The 19,698-nt window shown below is 45.8% G+C and overlaps 1 long non-coding RNA gene across 1 annotated transcript, besides 2 other annotated features; it reads left to right on the top strand.

The window, feature by feature from the left end:
• Nucleotides 6,982-7,081: an enhancer, noted in NCBI's record as "active region_24934". NCBI's record gives its function as "activates an Ori minimal core promoter by ATAC-STARR-seq in GM12878 lymphoblastoid cells {active_cell/tissue: GM12878}" and the evidence as "EXISTENCE:reporter gene assay evidence [ECO:0000049][PMID:35858748]".
• Nucleotides 10,543-19,069, top strand: LOC107986631 (uncharacterized). Its single transcript, XR_007059702.1, has 3 exons — nucleotides 10,543-11,265; nucleotides 12,248-12,340; nucleotides 13,462-19,069. It is a non-coding gene; the product is annotated as an uncharacterized LOC107986631 (long non-coding RNA).
• Nucleotides 10,885-11,124: an enhancer, noted in NCBI's record as "active region_24933". NCBI's record gives its function as "activates an Ori minimal core promoter by ATAC-STARR-seq in GM12878 lymphoblastoid cells {active_cell/tissue: GM12878}" and the evidence as "EXISTENCE:reporter gene assay evidence [ECO:0000049][PMID:35858748]".
• Nucleotides 19,070-19,698: the final 629 nt, after the last annotated feature.

Here is a 19,698-nt window from a genome sequence, read left to right as displayed (position 1 = left end):
TGCAGAGTTAGAGGTGTGGGACCTAATCAGGCTCCGGTCCCTGCTGCAGAGTTAGAGGAGTGGGACCTAGTCAGGCTGCTTGAGTCTGGATGCCGGTTGCACTGTTCATGTGTGTGTATGATTTTAACCACAAGTTACTTTATCTGTAAAACTGGGATAATAACACTTTATTTGGATGCCATGAGTATTAAATGAGATAATCCATCTAAATGTTTCCTGTTCTTTTTGGCTTAATCTGGATTCCCTGGAAAACAGAATCTGAGGCAAAGTTGAAGTAGTAATGCTTTTTAATGAAGTGCAATAGTAGGGCAGCCAGTGTGAGGCAGGGAAGGATGGGAAGCAAATGCCGGGCCCCGCTGCTGACCTGGCCAAGGCTTCACGAAGACACAGCCTGTCAGATGGCCCCAGGAGATGCCTTTTGGACAGGCCAGAGGAAGGAATAGCAGGCGACTTGATCTGCAGAATCCCTCCTGACTCCTATCCCCAACAGATCAAGGTTCATCCCCTGTGGAGTTTCATATCCCACACTTTGGGGTTGCATCACCTGGCCCTTTTAGAAACTGCTGAGGAATCCATCCCCCGTGCATTGTGGTGTGGCTCTTCTTCCAAGTCTGGGAGGGGCGCATGGAGTCTCAGCTCTGGCTGCTGGTCAGTGACTCCATGCCCTACTGTGGAATCATCTGGCAGAGTCAGTTGATGCAGGGGCTGCAGACGTTACATGGATAATGGAGGGTGGAAGGATTTAGAGCTTAAATAGTCTAAGGCAGCTCATAAGATGTATCGAGTCCATTATTATTATGTGTTGGAAAGAACAGCAGCTTTGACATTAGACAGCACTACCATTCTCTAGCTATGACACCTTAGGTTTAATGTACTCTCACTGAGACTTGGTTTTCTCACATATAAAGATGTGGTGACCACACCGGCTTGACAAGCTATTATGAGGATTAAATAATGCAATTGATGTGAAAGGACCTGGTGCTATGCCTGGTAAACAGCAGCTTCCTGCCTGGTTTCCCATTCTGCGGTCGGGGGAACCAGATCCTCCTTCCCCTGCCAGTGTTTGGTATGTGCAATTGACATGTATCTCATGCATCTTTTGATATTCTGTAAAGAGCCATGCAAACAGGATTTTAAGACAAGTATCCTATCCCTTTCCAACAAGATAGCCACTCCTAGAATATTTCTATGTTCAAATTCTAGAACCGAGATGATCACCCTGGGAAAGGTAGGAAGCTCCTGGCTGCTGTTCAGGAGAGCTTCTCCAATTCCAAAGCAGATCTTGGCAACCCACCCCTCCCCCACTGCGCCTCCCTGGAGCTACTTGAGGGCAGGCAACACGTTTACCTGATTCACTGCTATATCCTCAAAACCTAGCCCAGAAAATCAAGAGCAATAAAAAGAGTGAAATTTGTTTAGTATTTTATGATGTGCTAAGTACCATTCTAAGCATGTTTGTGACTCTACTTTAAGTCTTATAACAACCCGGCAAGAAAAGAATTAATGTTAATGCCATTATGCTCCAAGCAAGGTCACCAGGCCATCTTCACCAGAATCACCTGAAGGCTTCTCAGAATGCAGATTTCCAGAGTCTACCCCAGATCTGAAACAGGACCTCTGGGGTAGAGCCAAGAAGCTGCATTTTTAACAAGGTGTCCAACTGCCTCTTCTTACCCAGAAGCTCTGAAGTCTAACCCCGACTCAACTTCCTTTTGAGATCCCAACTGACCCATCCTACAGTGATGTGCATTATTCGTCTCCAAGTGAGAATATTTCCTTTAACCATTAACCCTCTGCTACATATAGAGAAGTTGAGTGATTTGCCCTATGATGTGGGGTTAATACCAAACAGACAGGCAGTCACAGCTCTAGAACCCAGACAGCAATTCTTTCTAACACATAATAATGTATTAGATACATCTATGAGATTCCCCAGATTCTTTAAGTTCTAAGACTTCTGGCCCAAAGTAAGCTTGAGTAGGGAGTCATCCAAGCTAGATTCAGAAAGGTTTAGATACTTGAGTTGCTGTTGTGTTGTTAGATCTCTACAGCAACTAATGACTATCTATCCAGGCACCAGTGCAGCCACGGGGTGGATTCCCGCATTCCTACTTCATGAGCCTGACACTAAGCCCCCTGGAGGAAGGAATAGAGGGTGACTTGATCTGCAGAATCCCTCCTGACTCCTATCCTCAACAGATCAGAGTTCATCCCCTGTGGAGTTTCATATACCACACTTTGGGGTTCCATCACCTGGCCCTTTTAGAAACTGCTGAGGAATTCATCCCCCATGCATTGTGGTGTGGCTCTTCTTCCAAGTCTGAGAGGGGTGCATGGAGTCATCAGCTCTGGCTTCTGGTCAATGACTCCATGCCCTACTGTGGAATCATCCGGCAGAGTCAGTTGATGCAGGGGCTACAGAAGTTACATGGATAATGGAGTATTAAGTGTATTAAGTAGTATTAACTCACATGATCACAAGGCCCCGCAGTAGGCTGTCTGCAAGCTGAGGATCAAAGAAGCCAGTCTGAGTCCCAAAGCTGAAGAACTTGGAATCCCATGTTTGAGGGCAGGAAGCAACCAGCATGGGAGAAAGATGTAGTCTGGGAGGCTAGGACCGTCTAGGCTTTTCACGTTTTTCTGCTTGCTTTATATTTTGGCTGCACTGGCTGCTGATTAGATGGTGCCCACCCAGATTAAGGGTGGGTCTGCCTGTCCCAGCCCATTGACTCAAATGTTAATCTCCTTTGGCAACACCTTCACAGACACACCCAGGATCAATAATTTGCATCCTTTAATCCAATCAAGTTGACACTAAATATTAACCATCACACTCCAGTAGCTGCTCTACAGAAGCCGAAGAGCCTCCTGAGGTAGAGAGTGAGGGACCTGGGATTCCTGTACTCCACAAAAGGATACTTCTAGTCCAAGGGACTTGCTCTTGGCTCCTCTGGGCACAGGGTTAGACCTCAGAATTTCAGGGTAAGGATGGCATCTGGGCACTTTGGTAAAATTCAGAGGGGAGACCCTGGAAATCTGCATCTTAAAAAGCCCCAGGTGATTTTGGAAAAGGTGCCCTGGTGGCCTCATGTGGAGAATCCTGGGTGTACCAGCTGCAGCTACTCTTGTACCTTTCACTATCATCTGGACCTGGGCTCCAAGGCCTTGCTACCAGAAGAGACAGGGGATTTTTAAAGGCATAAACATGTATTTCTTTCTTCCAATATATTTTTTTTTACTATAAGTTTTAGGGTACATGTGCACAACATGCAGGTTAGTTATATATGTATACATGTGCCATGTTGGTGTGCTGCACCCATTAACTTGTCATTTAACATTAGGTATATCTCCTAATGCTATCCCTCCCCACTCCCCCCACCTCACAACAGGGCCCAGTGTGTGATGCTCCCCTTCCTGTGTCCATGTGTTCTCATTGTTCAATTCCCACCTATGGGTGAGAACATGTGGTGTTTGGTTTTTTGTCCTTGCAATAGTTTGCTGAGAATGATGGTTTCCAGCTTCATCCATGTCCCTACAAAGGACATGAGCTCATCATTTTTTATGGCTGCATAGTATTCCATGGTCTATATGTGCCACATTTTCTTAATTCAGTGTATCATTGTTGGACATTTGGGTTGGTTCCAAGTCTTTGCTATTGTGAATAGTGCCGCTATAAACATACGTGTACATGTGTCTTTATAGCAGCATGATTTATAATCCTTTGGGTATATGCCCAGTAATGGGATTGCTGGGTCAAATGGTATTTCTAGTTCAAGATCCCTGAGGAATTGCCACACCGACTTCCACAATGGTTAGACTAGTTTACACTCCCACCAACAGTGTAAAAGTGTTCCTATTTCTCCACATCCTCTCCAGCACCTGTTGTTTCCTGACTTTTTAATGATCAGTATTCTAACTGGTGTGAGATGGTATCTCACTGTGGTTTTGATTTGCATTTCTCTGATGGCCAGTGATGATGAGCATTTTTTCATGTGTCTTTTGGCTGCATAAATGTCTTCTTTTGAGAAGTGTCTGTTCATATCCTTTGTCCACTTTGTGATGGGGTTATTTGTTTTTATCTTGTAAATTTGTTTGAGTTCATTGTCGATTCTGGATATTAGCCCTTTGTCAGATGAGTAGATTGCAAAAATTTTCTCTCACTCTGTAGGTTGCCTGTTCGCTCTGATGGTAGTTTCTTTTGCTATGCAGAAGCTCTTTGGTTTCATTAGATCCCATTTGTCAATTTTGGCTTTTGTTGCCATTGCTTTTGGTGTTTTAGACATGAAGTCCTTGCCCATGCCTATGTCCTGAATGGTATTGCCTAGGTTTTCTTCTAGGGTTTTTATGGTTTTAGGTCTAACCTTTAAGTCTTTAATCCATCTTGAATTAATTTTTGTATAAGGTGTAAGGAAGGGATCCAGTTTCAGCTTTCTACATATGGCTAGCCAGTTTTCCCAGCACCATTTATTAAATAGGGAATCGTTTCCCCATTTCTTGTTTTTGTCAGGTTTGTCGAAGATCAGATGGTTGTAGATATGCGGCATTATTTCTGAGGGCTCTATTCTGTTCCATTGGTCTATATCTCTATTTTGGTACCAGTACCATGCTGTTTTGGTTACTGTAGCCTTGTAGTATAGTTTGAAGTCTGAATCTTCCAATAATTTTTAAGAGTAGTTACTAAATAATGTAGTGAACATTTAAAGAAATAAACAGAGGGCAGGGTGAGACATTTGTCATGTTCAGCCTTCCTTGGGGACCTTGTCGTGGCTCAGGAGGCACAATGGGAACCGGGAGAACCCTGTCAAAATCCCAGCCTCAGCCACCACCAGTGCATGCTCCCAGCTGTCCTCCTAATAGACACAAGCATGTTGTTGACTTGATTTTTTTGGTTGATGCCTCATTTCCCCAAATATAAAATAATTTGAAAAGAAAGGAAGAAAATGAAAGTCAAGGAAAAATGGCTGCCAAAGCAGACTCAAAATTAAAACCATTCATACCTTTCCTGAGGCTTGGGTGAGCCGGTGGAGAGATTTGTTCCGGAGATATGAGTCTTCCCCTCCTCTAATTGAGGTCAGGGGAAGTTTCTGTCCTCCCATATATCCCTGCAGTGGGACAGGATTCCCCATGACCACCAGAGACCCCCCAGCCCCACCTTACCAGAAACAATGACAAAGTTCGCTTGACATTGGATCTCTCCTTCCTTTTGAGGTCCGAACTACCAAATTGCAGAAATTAGTGTGCATTATTCATCTGCAAGTGAGAATGTTTCCTTTAACCGTGTTAAAGGAAATGAAAGGTTCTATTACTTATGAACCCAGCGCTTGTCAGTGCTAAATTGCCTTTCTTATATATAAAAGCTCTCTGGGATTGCAGAAGGCAGAATGCCATTGCTGTTGTTAGTTACATGGTTGACTTCTTTCTGATGGGTCTAAATTGTTACCTTAGTGACTTCCTGCCATGCTGCATCCAAGTTTTGTGGGGCCTGAAGCTTATATAATTTTGGAGGCTTTCTTAAAACAAAAATACACATTAAAATTCTAGGTATAAAAGCATTTATTTAGAATGAGAAAAGAAGTCACAATGAATCAGAAATTCCACAAATATCAAATTCAAACAACATACTATTTTTATTAATTAACTCTTTGAAACACCCTTATAACACTATATTAACACTTTATTCCCTTCATTCATTCCCCATCTTTTTTTTTTCTTCCATACTCTTCAATCGCCTCTTCACATGACAACTTTGTGATTCCTTTTTTTTTTTTACGGAGAGAAGAGAAAGATAATTCACTTTTCCTCAAACATGGTGGAAAACATTTCTTTATTCTATTTTACCAAAGTTTCTTCCTGCTGTTTATTGGCAGTGTTATGTACATTTTCAGATTTGTTGTCAAATGTTTGAAGCCTAGTGTCAGGTTTCTCATGTGAGCTGTGAGAACTGGATGAATATTCCACAGACTCGCTTCTGGCTCCATCCATTCCAAATTCTGCCTCTCCCTCACTGTTGCTGCACAGCCCCTGGCCTTGCACCTCTGGGGCAAGAAGGCGGTGAGACTTCCTGAAGCCATTCCTCACAACAGCTAGCAATTACTTAACACATAGAAGTAACTGTGGACCATATAAAATATCCCAAGAAATCCCAATTAAATGTTTCCTGTATTTAATTCCCCTTAACCAGATGCTCAGAACATCCTCTGTCACTCTACAAAAGGCGCTGTGTGATGGAGGGGACACCAGGAGGGAAAGAGTCTTCACTGGCTGAGGTTAAGATAGCTTAAATCTATACAGTTTACAAAGACACATGACATAGGAACACATTGCTGGGGCCCTTCCCAGATCCTTGAAGTGAGGTACTAAAGCTTCATTCGCTTCAGGGTTAATCCTTCTCTGCTTGCTACTGGGTCTGCAGAAGTGAAGTGGGGTCTTCCTGTCATACTCTGTGGTTAACATCTGTGCTGGAGACACATGTGGGCATGGACAGGCCTGTGCATGCCTGCCCCGCCCCTGCCCGGGCACCAGGAAAGCTCTCAGCTCAGCTTGGGCAGCAGGGCAGGGAAGGCCTTTCAATCCCCACCTACTTTGCTGAGATACAGGAAACTCAGGCCCTCGATTTCCTGGCATCAAAACAGCTCAGGCATGGTGGCTCGCACCTGTAATCCCAGCACTTTGGGAGGCCGAGTTGGGGGGATCAAGAGGTCAGGAGATCGAGACCATCCTGGCCAACATGGTGAAACCCCGTCTCTACTGAAAAAAAAAAAAAAAAAAAATTAGCTGTAATCCCAGCTACTCGGGAGGCTGAGGTAGGAGAATCACTTGAACCTGGGAGGTGGAGGTTGCAGTGAGCTAAGATCGTGCCACTGCACTCCAGCCTGGGTGACAGAGCCAGGCTCTGTCTCAAAACAACAAAACAAAACAAAAACAACAACAAAAAAACGGAAGTGGCTGTTTCCTCAGTCTGGTGATTTCTGCCCCAGGGAGAAGCAAGGCACACTTGGTTTCTCTTATGGCCCAAAGGAAGTGTGTGGGGGAGAAGGGGAGCTGGGGCGGGGGTGCTGGCCTAATGTCCTGTGTGGACTAGGGTTACAGCAGCCCGGTTTGAAGCCTCTGGTCGTGGGAATGGCTTCTTGGGAGAGCTCCACGTGTCAGGAAATTAGTTATCAGATGTAGAGGTAATAATAGGACATGCCTGGCAATGTTTGAGGGCACTGAGAAGGCAATGAGACAGAAGGTGGTTTTTTTTTTTTTTTTTTTTTTTTTGCTTGTCTCTGCCAAGCCAAAAATGTAGGCCATCATGAACAGTCTGGTTTATAGAGAAACTAGGGGTCAGGGGGTGAAAAGGAGACATTCTGTTTGGGGGCTTAGTTTTCATTTTTGCATTTTTTGTGGGGCTACAGATTTGCCATTGGAGGTGCAGGTTCAGGCCAGTTGGTCTGTAAAAGTCCCTTCCTGGATAACTTTCTATAATTATTGTCTTTGGCTTAAAGCACAGGCTGTTACCAGATGGAAGGTCTTGACTGTGAGTTGTGCAGGTTCTTGGTGTGTTGAACCCAACACACAAACAAAGCAACAAAAGAATGAAACAACAAAAGACAAAGCAACAAAAGAACTAAGCAACGAAAACACAGATTTATTGAAGTGAAAGTACGTTCCACAGAGTGGGAGCAGGCTCGAGCAAGCAGCTCAAGAGCCCCCTGATTTAGGGTTTTTATTAGGCTAAAAGAATTTGGTAACACCCCTAGGTGCCCTTTGGAGGCCTCCAATTGGTTATTCCCTATGAAGGATTGGCCTGAGACCAATCAGAGGCTGAAGCGGAGACCTCTGTCTTGTTATCAGAGGAGCCACGATGTGGGCTGTATGCTACCTAATCCTGCCTAGAACTATCTGTACCTGTTGTTCTTTTGCTTAAGCCTTAACCCTTGGTTACCTTCAATTCCTATTCCCGTGCCTCAAGGCCCCACGATACGGCAGCTGCCCTTGGAAGGGGTCACACACTACGCTGTGATGACCACACCACAGTGAGAATTTGTTCACTAGCTAATTCCACAGACTTGGTGTCTGGGAATATCAAGAAGGGGACCAGCCTTGTACAGGGTTAGGGGGAGAATGTGGGAGGGTCCAGGGCTCTGTCCTCTCACTCCCTCCTGTTTTTCCTTCAGGGTGAGGGGCCCTAAGCAGTCTGTGAGTAGCAAGAAGGTCCTGGTGTCAGAAGTGAGGGGGAACAAAAATCGGGGGAGATGGAGGTGACAGAGTGTCAGAGGGACATTTCAGTTGCTTCATGGACCAGTACCACTTTGTGAGAAACAAATCACTATATATTCTATGTAAAAATTATTACCCTAAACAGGATAAACTTTTGACTCCCCTTTTGTTCATTTGGATTAAGTGGTATAATACTTAATTTTGGCATTTGACTCAAGATTATGTAACCTAGCTACTTCAGGATGGCCTTAGAATATTTTTCTGGTAATTTGTTCCATTTTCTGACTCCTCCTTGCAAACAAAATGATAGTGACCCTTTATCCTGATTTTTTTCTTCTTTTTGGTTTATGCCTATTCTAATTAAATGTGTATACATAAAGTTAAAAAAAAAACCTGGAATCTAATCTGGAATCTCTCGGAGAACAAAGTCTTCTGTTCCTAGAAGCCCTGCTGGGGAAGAAAGGAAGTGATGTGGTTCAGGGTTGGTACCAAAGTGACCATGTTCTCGGACTGCCCAGGGTCCAGGCGATCCCAAGTGGTAGCAGTAATGACACCGACCATTCAGTCCCCCACACTCACCTCTTTATCTCCTCTCCCTCCTAGTCTCCTCTCACCTCTGTCTCTCTTTCCTTTCTCAAATATCGATTGAGTCCCAGTTACTCTCCCTTGTACTGAAGTGACACAGAAGTGGACAAACACAGACCAAGTCCCCAACCAATCACTAATAGGTTAGACATTGTCCTAGGTGTTTATGTCGAATGTTCCTAACAACTCAGAAAATTGGGTTTATTATTCCCATTTTACCTACATGTAATTAAGATCTAGGGTGGTGTCTGAAAGCCTATGCTTATTTTGTAGAACAAATGAATGAACAGAAGCATGAAGAAGGTAAGTGGCTGATCCATAACCACACAGCTCCCAAGTGGTTTAGCCTTGATTTGGCTCCAAACTTGCACCCTGCTTAGCCTTTTAAATTGGGTGGGGTTGAGAGGTTACTTCAACTCTAGTTCTGTTACCAAACCAAACTTGTGTCTGCTTGCCTAATGCACAGAAAAAGCCAAATACTGACACCAGGATTTGCAGTGAGAGAAAGTGAGACATTTATTGCACTGAGCAGAGCCAAGGAGAATGAGCAGCTAACGCTTAAGACCCAAACTCCCTGATGGCTTCCAAGCAGGGGTTTTTAAAGGTGGCAGGGTGTGGTGTGTTGGGGATCGTCTCCAAAGTGAGAGAATTTCTGGAACTTTTAAAATCTACTTCTTGGCTTCAGTCTGTCTGAGATCACTGTGAAGACAGCTGGCATTTTCCATCAGGTGGGAGTCCTGGTTTCTTAAAAACAACTCAAGGACATATGTCAAGATGTTATCTTTAGTTTCTGTAGGGAAACAAACATCTTGTGACTCTGACTTATTTGGGTGGCTATTGCAAAAGTTATTATGATCTTCTCACTTAGGGGGTTATTTATTCAATTCTCTAATTGCTGGCCGTAGGGCTAGTTGGGTGCCTGGAATTTCCCTTGAAGGGACTCAAAATTTTTCCATGCTGGGCAGGGGACAGTGGTTGGGGGAGCCCAGCAGGCCCCTAAGATGGTTCCCTGCCTGTCTCAATTCTGGAGACTGAGGAGAGCGAAAATCACCTGGTGACCACTGAGCAGGCCCCGGAGATAAAAACTAATTATCTGAACAATTCAGAAAGGAGCAAAGACCACCTGGTGACCACCAAACAGGCCATCTGGAGGCAAAACTCCTTATCTGGGGAATTTAGAAGTAATCAAACTTCTCTAGTATCTAAAGTTGTCACCTTTAAGCTGAGGTGCAGTGGCTCACGCCTGTAATCCCAGCATTTTGGGAGGCCGAGGCGAGCGGATCACTTGAGGTCAGGGGTTCGAGACCAGCCTGGCCAGCATGGTGAAACCCCGTATTTGCTAAAAATACAAAAATTAGCTGGGCATGGTGGCACGCGCCTGTGATCCCAGCTACTTGGGAGGCTGCGGCAGGAGAATCGCTTGAACCCGGGAGGCAGAGGTTGCAGTGAGCTGAGATCTCGCCACTGCACTCCAGCCTGGGCGACAGAGCGAAACTCCGTCTCAAAAAAATAAATAAAATAAGTAAAGTTGGCATCTTTAAACTTTCAGAGGTTCCAATCCTCTTTCAACTTTTATAAGCAGCTAAAATTTCTATACATCTCCGGAATGCCGTGCTGAAACTCATTTTACAACCCTCAACTCCCACCTTAAAAGGTTCATAAATGCTGGTAAGGAAAATCCACCAGGGTGCGCTCAGTCCTCTCGCTGAGGTGCCCCACTGCACCCTTTTGTAGCGTTCTTCCTTTCTAATAAACGTTCCTTTTTCAAAGCTGTACTGTTGTCGGTAAATTCTTTTTACCAACCCCCCAGTCGACCACTTCCCGGTGCCGGGGCTCTGACACCGCGCGCAGAGACAGAGGCAGGCGGCCCCCTCTCTGCTGCCCCTTCTCCCTGCTGGTCTCATGAATGCTCTCACCTGAGCTTCTCCTTTTCCTTTTCTACTTTCTCCTTTACCAAGGGCGCAGCTGCTCTTCGGAGAGGCAGTTGGGTCCACAGAATCAGCTGCCTCTTGGAGAGCGGTGTGAGGTTATGAGGGAGCTGAGGGGAAGTAAAGAGAGGGTCCAGTGTGCCTCACCTTGGTCCCACACACCGAAGGAAAGGGTTTCAGAGAGGACTGGTGGATGCTGACACACCGTCCATTTTGAGAAGACTCCTTGTATGGGTGGCAGTGTGCTTCCCCAAAACTCATGTTGAAGCCCTAACCCATAACACCTTAGAATGTGACTGTATTTAGAGACTGGATTTCTAAAGAGGCGATTAATTTTAAAGAGACCATTAGGGTGAGCCCTAATCCAATCTGCCTGCTGTTCTTATAAGAAGAGGAAATTGAACCTGCAAGGAGCTATTAGGGCCTCTTGCAGAGAGGGATGACCGCATGCAGAGGCCACAAGAGGGCGCCCTCTGCAAGCCAAGGAGAAACCTCAGAAGACACCAACCCTGAAGAGGAAATTGATGTTGGACTTCTGGCCTCCGGAAGAGTGAGAAAATACATTTTTGTTTAAGCCGCCCAGTCTTTGTGTGTGTGTGTGTGTTTTTGTCTTTGTGTGTGTGTGTGTGTGTGTCCCTAGCAAAGGAATGCAATTTTTTTCTCATGTCCTCAAAAAACTTAGTTCATGTGTAGAATTTAAAGTCTGAGGAATCGCCACTTACAAATACTTTGGGTATTTTGTTTTTTTTTTTTTTTTAGACAGGATCTCTGTCACCCAGCTGGAGTGCAGTGGCATAATCACAGCTCACTGCAGCCTCCTGGGCTCAAGTGATCCTCCCGCCTCAGCCTCCCAAATAGCTGGGACTACAGGCATGTGCCACCATGCCTGGCTAATTTTTAAAATGTTTTGTAGAGACAGGGTTTCACCATGTTGCTCAGGCTGGTCTCAAACTCCTGGGCTCAAGTGATCCACCCACCTCGGCCTCCCAAAGTGCTGGGATTACAGGTGTGAGCCATTGTGCATAGCCAACAGACACTCCTCTGAGGGAGGCAGTCAATCTGGGCAGTTTCTACAAGTTTTTTTTTTTTTCCAACAGAAATCAATCATTTCTCATCTTAGCTTCAAGTAATTACACGAGAGTTGTTCAAACTTTAGCATGCATCAGAATCACCAGAGAGCTTGATAAAACTGAGATTGCTGAGCTCCACTCCCCGAGTTTCTGATTCAGTAAGTCTGGTGTAAGGCCTAAGAATGTGCATTTCTACGGTGTTCTCAAGTGATACTGATGCTGCAGGTTTGGGGACATATTTTGAGAACCAATATATTCTATTTTAATTCCACCATTAATGGTTATTTTTTATTTTATTTTTTTGAGACAGGGCCTCGGTCTGCTGCCCAGGCTGGAGTGCAGTGGTGCAATCATTGTAACCTTGAACTCCTGGGCTCAAACGGACCTCATGCCTCAGCCTCCTGAGTAGCTGGGACTGTAGACCCAGGCCACCACCACACCTAATTTTTTTTTCTTTTTTAGACACAGAGTCTTGCTGTGTTGCACAAGCTGACCTCCAACTTCTAGGCTCAAGTGATCCTTCCACCTCGACCTCCCGCAGTGTTGGAATAACAGGTGTGAGCCTGCACCCCAGCCTAATTCCACCATTAATTTGTAACTGGTTTTTGCTATGTTTAAAACTTCTTGGAGGACACTTAGGAAGCCTTCTTCCCCTGTGTCCTGTAATGAGGAGTGGGCACTGTGGTCAGGGTGCTTGGCTAGGGGGTTTAGTCCTCCCATTTGGGGCTATTTCCTGGCCCTTCTGGCCCTGCCCACCCAGGAGGGCGGAAGAGAGCTGTGGTCATCTGAAAGGATACCACGGCAGGATGTGAGGGCCCAGGCGACAGGGTAAAGAGCTGCCAGCATGCGTGGCTATTCTGAGGCCTAGAATTTATGTAACTGGAACACAAAGTCTCAATCCCTAGGGCCAGAGAGGGATTTGGGTCAATGGGAAGTTGAAAACAGCAGGAAAATGAGCCCAAGTAGCTCCGTGCACGTGAAGCAAAATTCATTCTCTGCATGGGCAGTGTGAAATAGGAAATAATTAAATGTTGTCTGGAGCTCATGTAGTCTGCAGGCTTGGGACATTTACCCAGGAGCCAGCTGGGAACATTTCATAGAACTTCTGACTAATCGAAAAAGCAGTTTATTCCAAAATCAAAAATCAAAGCCATTTTCATCTGGTTGCATGTAAAACACCCACTCACATCGGAGTCATCTATTGAAACCCAGGGGTACACACGGGTGCTATAGCTGAGTCTTTTATTGGTAAAGAAGTCAATAGTACCCCCTCCTTCCCTCCTCCCCAGAGAAAGCCACTTCTGGTTTGTTTCCTTTCATACCCTTTTCCATGCATTTGGCATGACTGGTACCTTTGGAACATTTTTACCAAGCTGTGAATTTCTTGAGGGTATCATCCATTTCTTCATTTTAGTAGGCCCAGTGCCTAGCACATAGTAGGTGCTCAGTAAGTGTGACTCCAATGCACCGAGTAAAGGAAGAAATAAATGAACTGGTTAATTTTCAGTGAGGAGAGTCAGAGTGAGGCAACCAGCTCTAGCTACTAAGAGCCTGGGAACCGTAGATGCCTGCTCACACTGTAGTTCATGTTGATGCTAATTTCCTTTAAAAAACCCCCAACATTTGTATAGTGCATTGCAGTTCACAAAGCATGTTTTCATCATCCCCATATCCAGGTCTCAGCAACTCCTTTGTTGCCAACTTTTACCGGACCCATGGGTCTGAAAGAGAAGCACAGTCCATAGTGTTCCAGCTTTGAGTGTGGCTCTCTCAGAAGAAGGTGTGACAGCTGCCTCCTTGCTAAGAGAAAGACGTTTCAGTGTCTGCCTCCTGGGAATGGAGTCTCCTGGTGACTCTGAGGATGGCGCAGGACTCTCCCAGCTAACACTACACAGAGGCTCCCCCTCTTCATGCCACCCCTTTGCCAGCTGCAGCCTGTGTGGACCCAGACACTTCTGACCCAGGCTCCAGTGCCCGCATGTCTGATAGCCTGTATTTCAAACTCTGGGCTCTCCTGGACATTCCCTCTCCAGCTGTATATGATGTTATTTTTCAGACCCATTTACTGTTGTCCAGTGGCCTGCCAAGACCTTTAGGTGAAGACGCTGACTCCCTCGCCGGCTCTTCTTCATTCTTTTCAAACACACGTCAGAGTGGAACGCACATCCTTTTTGCTTCACCTTCCAGGTTTGCTATCCCTTTAATGCAGAAAGACTGTCTTTTGTGTGTGTACTCCACAGAAAAGGATCAGTGTTTACCCCTTGTGCTGATTTTGCATCAAGGATAGCATTCCATGAAGGTGGCTGGGACTGCCTTGCATTTCAAAACCATTTTAAAAGCAGAAGCTAACTCCGCAGCCTATGCTGCCCCAGTTGGCTTTCCTACTTTTCCACCACAGTGAGCTAAGGAGAGCCCATGGTACCACCATGGTCTCCATAAGGAAGGGAGAAGACCAGCACAGGGAGTAAGGCTGCAGGGTCCTTGGTGTCTGTGCTCCCAGTCCCTCTAGCCACCTTCCAGTTGGCTCCCTAAAGACAACGTTTCACCATGTTGCCCAGGCTGGTCTCAAACTCCTGGGCTCAAGCAATCCACCCACCTCGGCCTCCCAAAGTGCTGGGATTACAGGTGTGAGCCACTGTGCCTGGACAACAAATACTCTTTTGAGGGAGGCAGTCAAGCTGGGCAGTTTCTACAAGTTTGGTTTTTTTGTTTGTTTGTTTTTGGCACAGAAATCAATCATTTCTCATCTTAGCTTCAAGTAATTACATGAGAGCTGTTCAAACTTGAGCATGCATCAGAATCACCAGAGGGCTGGATAAAACTGAGATTGCTGAGCTCCACTCCCCAAGTTTCTATTCAGTAAGTCTGGTGTAAGGCCTAAGAATATGCATTTCTACAGTGTTCTCAGGTGATACTGATGCTGCAGGTTTGGGGACCATATTTTGAGGACCAATACATTCTATTTTAATTCCACCATTAATAGTTAACTTTTATTTTTTAGAGACAGGGCCTCAGTCTGCTGCCCAGGCTGGAGTGCAGTGGTGCAATCATTGTAACCTTGAACTCCTGGGCTCCAACGGACCTCATGCCTCAGCCTCCTGAGTAGCTGGGACTGTAGACCCAGGCCACCACCACACCTGGCTAATTTTTTTTTTTCTTTCGTAGACACAGGGTCTTGCTGTGTTGCCCAGGCTGGCCTCCAACTTCTAGGCTCAAGTGATCCTTCCACCTTGACCTCCCACAGTGTTGGAATAACAGGTGTGAGCCTGCACCCCAGCCTAATTCCATCATTAATTTGTAAGTGGTTTCCGCTATGTTTAAAACTTAGCAGAAGCCGCAACTTTCCCTCAGCAAACCAGGGAACAGGTGGTAACCAAGTTCTCAAGACACCTTCTTAATTAACTACTTAACCAGCGCTAGCTGCATGCAACTGAACACTGAAGAAGACAACTTTCAGGTACCAGGAGTTAGGAGCCAAGGCCCCGGGCAGGTGCCGTTTCTTCCATGCAGCCTTCCCTGATTCCCTGTTTGGTGGTGGTTTTCCTTTCTCTCTGCCTTCAGAATGCATTGCCTGCTTCTCCATTACAGCATTCACTGTGTGTCATCCTGAATTGTGGGTATGAGTTGTAAGTCTTACATGTTCTTGTAAACTTCTTAACAGTGAGGACTGGGTCACCCAGGAAAGTGGTTTGCAACATGGTAAGTTCCTGAGGTTTGCTGGATTGAAATGAATTTTAAGTTTTAAATGTTAAGTTCTTATCTTACTATTTCAAACTCTCATCACGGCCAATTCCAGGTGATGCTCTTTCCTGGGTTCCAAACGACACAGGGGCTTACTGGGGTGAAGGAGAGCTCCCCAGCACCGGGGCCTGGGAGCAGCTTGTGGCTGGGGTGGGGTAGGATGGGGTGGGGGTGGCTGGCCTGGCCTCACCTTAGGGCTCTCCACTCTGCAGATGCTCACCCCAGCAAGGGAGTCCAGTGCCATCTTTCTCTGGGATCTGGACCCGCTCAGGGGCTTTCTCTTTCCCTGCCCTTATTTAGAGCAAATCTCTGTCCTTGCCCTTTCCAGCTTCTGCCACGTGCTGCAGGAGGCTTCAGAAAGCACAGGTCTGTTTTTAGATTTTGCCTCACGTGTGTGCAGCGAACTTAATGAGCTCTCTATAGGGGTAGCTTTCTTGAGAGACCGTTGCTAAGGGCCAGTCACACGTTTCTCACCGTGTTGTGATGGAAACGTGATTAGATGCTGATCTGTGCTCAGCAGAACCTGCTGGAGTGTCTGGTTGGAGTGGCCTCTTCTACAGGGGCCTGAGGGATTTCACAGGCCCACAGACCCAGCCTTGTGATTTCAGCAAATGGACAAGGGGTGGTAAAATGTAACGGGGTGGAGGGTTTTGGAAGACCTCAGATCCCTGTGATTGACGGCACTGATCCACTTCAGCAGCTTTGCCTGAGCACTGTCTGTGGTGGGTACCAAAGACACTGGAGCTCTGTGGCCTCTGCCCTTTAGGAGCCTATAAGCAGCTGGGGCAGTGACAGTAGACAGAAAGGGTTAATCAGCAATCTGTGGCTTCCTGGGCCTAAGGGCAGCCGGTCAGGGGATCCCGGCATAGGGAGAATCTGGGGAGTAGTTCAGTGGGCTGGAGTGGTTAGAAAAGTTAGCACTTTAACCGGGTCCTGAAGCACCAGCCTGGAGGATTGGGAGTGGTGGGGAGGAAAGGTAAGGGGCCCGCAGCAGGGAAGGAAGGATCAGTATGCAGCAGGGCTGGAGGCAGAAGTGAACTCATCTGGCAAGATAACAGTGATGGCCACCATTCGTTGACCACCCTTTTTGGGCCAGGCTCCCTTCTAGGTGTTTCCTCTTTCTGTCCTCACAACCACCCTGAAAAGTTGGTGCTATGATCCCAAGTTACAGAAGAGAACTGAAGCCTGGAGAGGCGCCATACACTGTTCATAGTCACACAGCTGGGAGGCAGCCGTCCAAAGTTAATCCCAGGCTGTTCTGACTCCCCAACCGGTGTTGGGATGGAGGAGAGTGGAGGGTGAGCTGCCTGGAAGAGGGAGAGGTCTGGGCTGGGGTGGAGAAGGAGGCTCAGCTTTAGGAGAGAGGGGGTCCAGGATGGACAGCCAGGGAGCTGCCCTGAGGGGCTTGTCTGGATCCTGTGGTTAAGGGGTCTGCAGAGGAGGGATGTACCTCTCATCTGCACCACATGCAAATTCCTGTAAAAAAATATTGCTTTGTGTATATTCTATACACACACAAATATGTCTGTATGCATTAGAGAGTTGCATTTATCTCGCTGTGTAATGCTGTGCTTTATCATATATCTACTATACTGGTATAATAGTGCATGTCTATGATTGGTGTATAACTAAACATACATATATTGGATGTAACAGTGTAAAAATGTTTCAGTGATGGGGTTTCTCCATCCTATGGTTTCTCCAGCCTATGGCTGGAGATGTTGTTCAGGGTGCGAAGGGCAGGGGGAGTCCCCAAAAACCTCAGGAGTGAAAACTACATGAAACACCAGAAGAATGTGGAAGCTGGTGGGCAGCATAAATTCTGCCAGATCCTGGGGCCAGTCTATTGAATCACAGAGGAGTGAAGCTGCCAATAAGAGGCTGAGACCTGGAACTGGATCCATTCCCTGGTCAGGGAGGCCTGGGGGGACGCCGAGGCCAGCAGGCAGAAACTGGAATCGCACCAGTACAGCAAAGCGGACGCAGCCCCTGATGTGACTATAGGGTATCCTGGCGCAGGCCAGGCCAGTGGGGTTTAGGGTGTCAGCATAGAGCAGGGTTCTGGCCATGGGGTGGTGCCTGAGGCAGGAGAGTTGGCAGGAACAAGGCAGGTCCCAGTGTTCAATACGCTGAGAAACTTGGCAGCATCAAGATAGGAACTAAGATGGCAATTCAGGGATCAATGGTGGTATAGTCAAGGCGGTGTTGCCTAATGGTTATGAGCATAGGCTTCAATGTGAGACAAATCTGGGTTTAAACCCCCACTCAGCCACTTCAAAGCCGTGTGAACTTGTGTGAATTTCCCAGCCTCCCCTAGCCTCACTTTCCTCACAGGCGAAAAGGATAATGATACTTATCCACAAGGTAGTTAGTTACAAGGATGAAATGAAATGTGCTATGTGTGTGTTTGGCACTGTATGACCTATGACAACTGCTATTATTGTTTTAGAAATATTATTTATTCTGGTGGGTCTTGGGAATAAGGCAGCTTCCTGGAAATCATACCTGGGGCAAAGGCCAGAGCCAGGCCCATCACATGGGTGACCAGTCGCCCAGCCCTTCAGTCCCTACTGCCTCTGGTAGGGCTGGGGAGAAAGGAGGATTGTAGATATGAGGAATTAGGCCAGGTAGAACAGCAGCTCCCCAAAACCTAAGCATAAGTTGTGAGGAGGTTATTGTCCTCTAATGACAGCAATTACAGGGCCTGCTGGAAGTTTCTCACCCAGCCACCTCCTCCCCTCTCTCAGGGTCTCTGCCCGAGCCGTTCCCTCTGTCCAGCCTGCTCCTTCCACAATCTTTGCCAGGTTGGCTCCTTTTTGCCACTGATAAATTTTGACTGTCATTTTCCCAGAGAAGCCCTTCCTGACTACTCCATCTAAAGCTGCCCCCAGTTATAGAGCCCTCCACCCAGCTACAATGGGATACTCATTTTTTTCAAATGTAAATGGATCATTCACTACCGTAGGCCATATGCTGGTCATAAATCATGTCTCAATAAGTTAAAAGGATTGAAATTATGCAGAGTATATTCTTTGACCACAACAAAGTGAAAAATCATTAACCAAGAAAAATCTAGGAAATCTCCAAGATTTGGGAATTAAATAATACTTTCCTGAACAAGCCATGGGTCAAACAAGTCATAAGAGAAATTAGAAAATATTTTCAAGTGAATTATAATGAAAATACAACATAACAAAATTTGTGGGGTTCAGCTAAAGCAATGCTTTAGGGCGAAAGTGTTAGCTTTAAATGCCTACATTTAGAAATAAGAAAGGTCTAAAGTGAATGATCTGTGCATCCTCCTTAAGAAGCAAAACATACAAATAAATATAAGGAAAAGTGAAGAATGGGAGAGACAGTGAAAATTGATGAAATATAAAATGGATAGCAATAGATAAAATTAATAAAACCAAAGCCTGGTTCTTCGAAAGGCTCAATAAAACAGATAAACCTGTAGCTCAGCAAATCAAGCAAAAATGAAAACACAAATTGACAACATGAAGAATGAAAGAGGAAACATCACAAACACTCCACAGGCATCAAAAGGACAATACAGGGATATTATGAATATTTTTATGTTACTAAGTTTGACCGTGTAGAAAATATGACCACCCCTCATTATAAAAAGTCTGGCACCATTTTTAGATGTTTGGCTGCTGAAAGCTTTTAGGCCTCACCCCTTGCTCTTCCCTTTGTGCCCCACATCTGGACAAGTTGGTAGCCCAAGTGCTGTCTCCTTTGTCATTGGCGGAAAGTTCAAACCGTGTAAGACCCTTTCCTCACCTTGCACAGGAACCCTCACCCTGACCAACCCCATCACTACCATAAAAATCCGAAGCCAGTCTCATTTTTCTACGGTCATATAGCCAAACCAGATTGTGTACTCAGTACACTAGGTTCCAGCCATCAGGCTATACATTTTCAATAAAAATGCAGACAAGCCGATGGAGGGTGTTTCTAGGGGAGTTTTGAACTTTAAATAGCACATTATAAATCACTAGCCAAAATATCTCATTCCTATAGTGGCCAAGGGTCAGTTTCATGGCTCCATATGTCTTCAGAAATAAGCACAGAGCTACATATAAGTCAAGTTAAACTTACACAAAGAGCATCTACAAAAATCCTGCATCTCACTACATATTTAATGGTGAAAGATAACACTTTAACCTAAT

This window comes from Homo sapiens, chromosome 6 (assembly GCF_000001405.40).
Source record: "Homo sapiens chromosome 6, GRCh38.p14 Primary Assembly".
NCBI lineage: Eukaryota > Metazoa > Chordata > Mammalia > Primates > Hominidae > Homo > Homo sapiens.
Note: the sequence above shows the minus strand (reverse complement) of the source record. Positions and strands in the feature narration are given on the sequence as shown.